We start from the raw sequence: 8,834 nt of genomic DNA, 5'->3' as shown, positions 1-8,834 counted from the left end.
GCACTGTGGGAGGCCACAAGCAGGTGTGGGTAGCAAAGACCTGCTGCTGGGTAAGGTCAATGGCAGCTGAAAGAGCAAAGGAGGCCAGGAGGCAGGTGCTGGTGAGAAGGGCCCGTAGCAGCCTGGAGGCCAAGGTTGTACTCTCTAGGAACCATGCACTGCTCCCTGTGACTGAGAGGACCTTCCAAAGACTGGGAGAGGCTGCAGGGCCACATGAATGCTCAGAACGACTGAGGGCATCCTGTGGAGCAGGGATGCAGCCTGGAGGCCCGCCTGGCTGCTCAGGGTGGTCCGCAGCCTGCGTGGAGCCCAGTGATGCCTACAGCAGCCTGGAAAATAGGGACGCACTCTGCAGGGCCCACCTGATGCTCAGCCTTGTGCAGTCTTACAATTCCTTAAGGGAAACATGAGATGCAGATTTGGGGATGGCATTAAATTTTTTTGTAAATTTTGGAAACAAATTTAAATTAAAATATCTGTGTAGGCCAACACAATGAATGCATGGGCCTGAATGAACATTTTTCTCATTCTCTCTCAGCCTCTGATACGAGAGCATGCTCTTTTCTTAGGAAGTGCCAAGGGTAAAATTGCAGATGTTGCCATGAATAAGTTCATAGTGACATGACTGTTTCATACTTATCTGTGTTGTCTTCTCACAAAGTCTTTCTTACACCCTGGACGGTGGTAAGGAGTACAGAGTGGACCCTGCAGGCACAGCCTCCATCCCTCCCTGCCCCTTCCCTGTGACCTCTCTGGGCCTCTGCCCCAGCTCCCCCTGCCCTCTCCATAAGCTCTTGCTCCCTTGCTATTCTTTTTCAGATCACACTGTCCCCTTTCTTGAAGCCCTCCATGGTGTGGTTTCCCATAGAACCCCCTGAGCTCCTGAGTGGTTTCCATCTTCCTTGCTGTCCTATTGGAGAGCACTCCATGCTCCTAAGATCTGGAGCCTGTCCCTCCTCCTCCCTCTGCCTGGACACTCTGTCACTGAGTCCTTTCCTGATTCCTCCTATGACCCCCCCAGTCACTTTGTTACATCCATCCCATTGATGTTCCCTGGGACTATGTTGTTAAGTTACTTATTTACTCCTTTCTTGTTTGTGCTCCTGCCCCCACCCTGGAGTATAGGTCTCAGGAACAGGGGGACTTCACCTCTCTCTCATGCCTGCTGCATTTCCAGTGCCCAGACAGTGCTGGGCAGGGCCAGCCTCCAGCAGGTGCTTCCCATCTATACCCTGGGTGCATTTCTCCCCTCTCCAGGGTGTGACCAGGGACTCATCTGAGCAAGCAGATGATTGCTAAGGATTGAGGCTTAAGGGAATTATGTTTTCCCTCTGATCTGTGGGGCTGGAGTTAATAAAGCTTTTCCCAGTTGATTGCATCAAGGCCACTGGAATGTCTCAGTTTGTTGCTAGGGATAAATGCTTGCTTTTACTTTTTATATAGAGATAAAAAAATATTTTTCCTGAATCATAAGTTGCTCTTGGTTTTTCCTGTACACTCCACTAAAACAAAAGATTGTCACTGTGAGGCGGATGAATTGTGTCCCTCCAGAATTTGTGTGTTGAAGCCCCAACTCTTAGGACCTCAGGATGTGGCTGTATTTAGAGACAGTGTCTTCAAAGAGATAATTAAGTTAAAATGAGGCTGTTAGGGTGGGCCCTAATCCAGAATAATTGGTGTCCTTATAAAAAGAAGTGATTAGAACAGACACACACACATACTTGCACACACACACACACACGCACACACACACACACGCACACACATAGAGGAAGACTATGTGAGGACACGGAGAGGAAGGCCACCTACAAGCTAAGGAGAGAGGCCTCAGCAGAAACTGGCCCTGCCCACACCTTGATCTCATACTTCCAGCCTCCAGGAATGGGAGGAAATACATTTCTGTTGTTTAAGCTACTACTCAGTGTGTGTTTTTTTTTTTTTTTTTTTTTTTAATGATAATCCTAGTAAATGAATGCAGTTGCTTATAAAAGTCAAAGATTCAGCCAGGTGCGGTGGCTCATGTCTGTAAGCCCAGCACTTTGGGAGGCGGAGGCCAGTGGATCACCTGAGGTCAGGAATTCAAGACCAGCCTGGCCAAGATAGTGAAACCCTATCTCTGCTAGAAGTACAAAATAATTAGCTGGGTGTGGTGGTGGGGGCCTGTAATCCCAGCTACTCAGGAGGCTGAGGGAGAGAATTGCTTCAACTGGGAAGACAGAGGTTGCAGTGAGCCGATATTGTGCCACTGCACTCCAGCATGGGTGACAGAGTGAGACTCTGCCTAAAAAAAATAAATAAAAATAAAAAAGCCAAAGATTCCAGCAGTTTTATTTTGTGCATTTCTGTGTTTCTAATATGTTTATTTCTTGCAACTTGAAATGTGGTCTCTTATGGTCCCTCAGGAACTAGTGAAATTATATTTTTGTTTGCCATGTCAGTGTTGTATTAGAGATTTTGTGAAATATTTTATTCAGCTCATCCATTTTACAGCAGTGGAAACAGAAGTGAGCAGGCCTGTGTGAGCCATCCATGCTGCAAGTTGGGAGGCAGTAGAGATTCACCTGCTTTGGTGGGGAGCTCATCCAGCATCTTATTCCACTGTGTCCTTAACAATGCCATGGTGACTGTTTATCATGCGCAGTGTCAATGGGTGACAGAAGTGCATGGTTAGCCTTCTGTCTGGGAACACGTAGTTTTTTTGGCAGTTGAAGAGAGGAACAGAGAGCCAGAAGTCCAAATCCTGAGGCCTGGACCCTGCTGTGACAAGACAAGCAAAGATCCTTTTGGAACCAGAGTTATCTGGATCCATTCCCAGCACCTCGTACAGAGCTCCAGGTAGGCTGGGGTAGAGGGCAGCTATGAAGCCCAGTGGGAAGGGCTTCATGAATGGCGGATTTAGTAGGAAAAGAAAGAAGGAGAATCAAACCTAAGTATCAAGTCAGCTACAAGGAGGGATCGTAATTTTAAAAAATTGCTGAGAGCAGGACAAAGCCAGACGGGATTCGGCACACAGAGCTCCGATTGCACGCTGAGTGCAGTTTGGTTGGTGACAGGCACTTATATTTTTGTAATTACTGTCAAATGTACAAAGCTCTTTCACCTACATTTCATTAAACAACCGCTGTGGCTTCGTGATTACCAAATTCACTTAGCAGACAGAAAACAGACCAACTCCCTTGAGTTACAGGCCACAAACTGAAGATGGGAAAGACCCGTGTGCATGGCGGGCAGTTCCCAGAAAAGAAGACCAGACGAGGCACGACCACTGCTTTTTAAGTGAAGAGAATTCCTTTATATTACTCATGTGTTCAGGAAAAACACAAATATTTGTATGTTTTCTACTTTGGGGCATTTCCTAACTGCCTCCAATTCATCAAAGCTTCGAGGTTGTACAGAATTTTGTGGTCATTTGTTTTAATTTCTTACATACATGGAGGGACTGTTAGTTTTGAGACAACTTCACAAAGACTATCGTTCTCAAAATGTCCATATAAACATGATTGTTCTAGGCTCTATTGATTTTATTTTCTTATTTTTTGAGACAGAGTCTCGCTCTGTTGCCCAGGCTAGAGTGCAGTGGTGCAATCTTGGCTCACTGCAACCTCTGCCTCCCAGTTTCAAGCAATTCTCTTGCCTCAGCCTCCCAGTAGCTGGGAATACAGGTGCCTGCCACCAGGCCTGGCTATTTTTTTTGTATTTTTAGTAGAGACAGGTTTTGTCATGTTGGCCAGGCTGGTGTCGAACTCCTGGCCTCAAGTGATCCGCCCACCTTGGCCTCCCAAAGTGCTGGGATTACAGGCATGAGCCACCGTGCCCGGCCTAATTTTTTTATTTTATTTTTTGAAAAATGCTATGGTCTTCCATGGGGTGCAAAGTGACCTAAAAGGAGACGGCTTCCTGGATACCTGTTTCAGCATGGCTCTGAGGAGCCAGTGTCTGAAGTCCTCTTCCAGCATCCACTCCTCCCAAAGTGTGCGTCTTTGCTTCATGGTTTGTCATTTGCCTGCTCTCCCAACTGTGCAGATCTGGAGGTTGCTCCCCTAAGTTCCCCTAGGTGGATGCAGGCTGCTGGTCATACCCTCACAGGCCAGCAGGTCCCAGGGTAGCACACTATGCATTGCAGAACTCACAGGGATAGTGATTTAAAATTTTTGAATCCACGTATTTTGATTTCTCTCTTCTGCGGCTGAACCATGCTGGCTGGCACTCCAGGGAAGGAGACGGTGAGCAATCCTGAGAGTTTCTCTATCTCTGAATGACACTGTTGCTGGCCAACTCATAGCTATTCTCGTCCACCGAGGCCTCTCCTGGAAGAGCTGGCTCCTTGCAGCTAGCACAGGACACCTGTCCCAGGTCCTTGTAAGGGTCCCAGGTGGTCTGGGAAGGTGTCTCTTATTCTCTACAGAAAAAAAACAAAACTCCCTTTGAATGTAGCTGGATGGGGACACCATGACTAAATCTGTGTGGCTACCTTGCAACAAAGAGGGGTCTTTGAAGCAGGAAATCATCTCTTAAAAGGATTAGGCCAGCGTCTGCGTCGGAACTAAAAGCCATGGGTTCATCCACATTTTCTGTTATAAGAAATAGCAAATGTTTTGATTATTTTATTAAACACTTTCAGTTAGGCATTCTTCTCTGTGGATTGCAACAATCTATTTCCACCACTTTAGTGAGTAAAGGTTCAAAAATCAGGCTGGACGCAGTGGCTCATGCCTGTAATCCCAGCACTTTGGGAGGCTGAGGTGGGTGGATCACCTGAGGTCAGGAGTTTGAGACCAGCCTGGCCAACATGGTGAAACCCCATCTCTACTAAAAATACAAAAAATTAGCTGGGTGTGGTGGTGGGAACCTGTAATCCCAGCTACTTGGGAGGCTGAGGCAGAAGAATTGCTTGAACCCAGGAGGCGGAGGTGGCAGCGAGCTGAGATTGTGCCACTGCACTCCAGCCTGGATGACAAGAGCACTCCGTCTCAAAAAAAAAAAAACAAAAAAACAAAAAACAAGCACTGGTATACACACACCACACACACACAGAGAGAGAGAGACGAGAGAGAGAGAGAGGTATTCTAAATTTCTTGGCTCCAATAGGATTTTAAGATAAAATCTGCTTACGCCTATCATAGTTTTACTATAACACAGGATAGAAAGTTAGGAAATGGAGTAAAGGGAGAGGAAAGCCCAGCCCCTGAGGCCCCACAAATGGGGGAGAAGTCAGAGGGGCTCTAGGCTTAGCCACAGGGAAAGAGCTGAGAGATAAGGAGGCAAATGCAATGCAGAGAAGGTTTGGCTCTGCTCTTCGCCTGGGGTCTGGGCAGAGACCCTCTCCCAGCGTTTCTGGGGAAAACCTGGTGGCCATGCCCAGGTGCCTCCAATAAGGGAAATTAATTTTATCCAATTTTCATTTTCTTATTGCTCTATTTTTCTACCAGTGATTGAGCCTGTCTTGTTTTTAAAGCATGAATGAAGATGCAAAGACTGAAAGGAGATTTCTGCAATGATATCCTATCCAAAATAATTGATGATGTCCCCCAGTAAACAAAACCTGCTCAGGACGGAGGTGTGGCATGGGAACAGGTGCCAGTGAAGAAGGAATGGCACAGCCTGTCTGCCTCCTTGTTCCTGATGGAGCCAGGGAGCAAAGGATGTTTTCTTTTATCCTTAGAGACCAGAATTCTCACCGAAATATAGCTCAACATGTCCCCCTGAATTTTTTTTTTTGGCTTACACTTTGAATGTCATTTCAGTTTAAGCAGTAGGTCTTTCTCCTGTTCAATGGGATCCTCCCCTTCCATGTCTTCGATATGCTGGAAATCCTCTTAGGTGACAGTTCAATTGTCTAATTGTCACTCCTCGACTTTGATTTTTCATTTAAAAAATAGAGATCACTGATTTTGCTCTTGAGTGTGAGGCCTAGCAAGGCTCAGCGAGGCTGTTTTCATTCTGCATTCGCTGTTGCATAAGACGGTGGCGGGGGTCAGGGTCTTCTCAATGTCACCCTAACCCCCCATTCTCATCCTGGATTAAGAAGGCTCAGGGCTGCTGAGGTAGAGGGGCCTCCTTACTCTCTCTCTCTCCAGGGACCCCAGGTAACCTCTCCATTTGGTGAACTCAGACTGGGGATGCTTCTTGCATGGCTAAAGGAGAAAGAGGGTGACAAGGGAAGCTGGCAGGGATGTGGCCTCCTCAAACACAGCACCATTTCTTCTATCTGGGAGCAGTTAGGAGGCCCCCCAACCTCTAGAGCTGAGGGAGGAGACAGAGACCACCTCATATTGGGTGGGATGTTAGAGAATTTCCAGACAGGATTTTAAGTCACCAGAGTCAGACATCTGGCCACAAATCATGTACGTTCCTCCCGCATGAAAATGGTATCCACCCCTGCCAAATTCCCCCAAAGCCTCATTATTGCCTGAATCAGTTTGCGATACAGGTGAGGTTTCTGGCTTGAGGTTCCTCAGATCTAGTTTCTCTCCATCTGGAGAGAAACGAAAACCACAGAAGAGGCAGTGTCTCTGTCCCTCACTCACTTAACTTACAACTGCAGGGCAGAAATAAGATGGCCCCAATAAACTCTCAAGCTGAAAAAGGGAGAAATGGGGGAGTGGGCACAGCAGTTCCTGGTCCATATCACGTGGAGATGCATCAGACACTCACAGTCCACAGACTAGGGCCCATTCTGGCTTCACCCTCTGGGCTCGGAGTAACCCTTCTTCTTCCATAGGGAGTGACACGTTTCTGGAGCCGAATAGTGTCCTCATTCCAATTTCTGCTTTGGAACAAATTACAACAAATTAGTGGCTTAGAACAACACCTATTTATTATCTCACAGTCTCCTTGGGTCCTGAGTCCAGGCCCAGGCTGACAGGTTCTCTGCACAGGGACTCATGGGGCCAGGGCCAGGTTCTCATGGGGGATCAGGGTCCTCTTCCAAGTGCAGTGTTGCTGGCAGAATTCATCTCTGCGCGGGTGTGGGGCTGAAGCGTCTGTTCTTCCATTAGCTCTCAGCTCCTTGAATGATGCCCACGGTTCCTTGTCAAGTGGTCCTGGAGGGAAGTTTGCAGCACAGATATGGGCGTTCTGCCAGGCTCACCAGAGCGCATCCCTCCAACTTCCTCTTCTGCCGTCAGCTGGAGAGAAGCTCCTGCTTTTAAGAGACTCGTGTGATCAAATCAGGCTCACCTGATCATCTACCCATCTCAAGGTCAGATGAGTCAGGACCTTAATTACATTCACATAATCCCTTCACAGTGGTCCCTAGATTAACATTGGATGAAACAACTGGAGGTTGGTGTGTTTCCCCCAGAGATTTGGCAGCCGTCTTCAAATTCTGCCCACCACACCACTCCTGGCAGTTCAGGGGTCCATAGTTATCATTTTATTGTGTCTATCTTTGTTCCTTTTAGCCCAAGTGGGTCATGTTTCCATAGAATAATTCTCTTAAGAACTTTGGGGATCTCCTGTGAGATGAGGGTGCCTTCCACTACGCAAAGGCTGCAACCACACATCTCTGAGATAAGCCTGTCTCTACTTGAGGCTCCCAGTAAGACTGTGATCTTAAGCTTCTGAGAAGCCCTATTTCTAGCAGAATCTGAGAGGCCCGGACTTTCAAGTCTCAGAAGCTCTTCTGTCTCTCTGAAAGGATCTATGAGGCCCACCTTAGATCTTCCTGAGGTCTTAACAGGTCATCTCTGACACTGGATTTTAGGTTCTTTCTTCATTTTAGCATTGTTTGCCATCTGGACATGCTAAGAATAACAGAGCTTTATTTTCTCTATTTTTATTTTGGGATGGAGTCTCACTCTGTCACCCAGACTGGGTGCAGTGGTGTGATCTCAGCTCACTACACTCTCTGCCTCCTGGATTCAAGCGATTCTCCTGCCTCAGCCTCCCAAGTAGCTGGGACTACAGGCCTGTGCCACCATGCCTGGCTAATTTTTGTATTTTTAGTAGAGACAGGGTTTTACCATGTTGACCAGGCTGGTCCTGAACACCTGACCTCAAGTGATCTGCCTGCCTTGGCCTCCCAAAGTGCTGGGATTACAGGTTTGAGTCACTGCGCCTGGCCCTGAGCTTTACTTTCAAACTTCTGAGACCTGGAGGCTTATTTGTCTTTCCTATAAATTTTGCGTGAAAATTAAGTGGCCTTTTCTTTTCAACTCCTCTCTTTATCCTCATTTAATCATACATAGCCAAAATACACCAATTGTCACTTTTGACAAGTCTCCCAGATTTCCCCAGATTATTTATTACATTTACTCTTTCCTATGTCACTGTGTGGGGCCATATTGGTAGAGTTTCTGCCACTAACTAACAGGGTGCCCTTTTGTCTCCTTCACCTTCCAACATTTCCCTCACTTTCCTCCCAGCCCTTATCCCCCTGTCACCACCAGTATTCTTCCAACCTTGAAGGCTACCTGCTTGCAGAGCCACCATCTCACTCACAAGTCTTGGGCTTTGTGAATTAGCACTCCACTCCCAGGTATGCAAGTCTGCTCTGGCTGTCTTCAGCTCTGTGACAAGCAATCCATATGCAGGGGCTTCAAACGATGACCATTGTATATCTTGCTTAGAATCTGCAGATCAGTGGGGCTCAGCCAGGTGGTTCTCACTTGGGGTCTCTTATGCTTTTGTAGTGAGATGGTGGCTAGGGCTGTCTTTCAGGCTTCTTCACTCCCATGTCTGGTGTCTGGACTGGGGCACATCACGCATCTAGAGGCTGGAACTCTGGGCTTCCTTGAGCTTGAGCTCTCTACTGGTCTGTCCCTCTCTCTCTGTCTCCTGCCCTCTCTCCCCAGCTCTGTCTATCTTTGTCTCTCTCCACGTGATCTCTTCAC

This window comes from Homo sapiens, chromosome 7 (genome assembly GCF_000001405.40).
Source record: "Homo sapiens chromosome 7, GRCh38.p14 Primary Assembly".
In the NCBI taxonomy this organism is placed as follows: Eukaryota; Metazoa; Chordata; class Mammalia; order Primates; family Hominidae; genus Homo; species Homo sapiens.
This window is presented reverse-complemented; position numbering follows the sequence as displayed.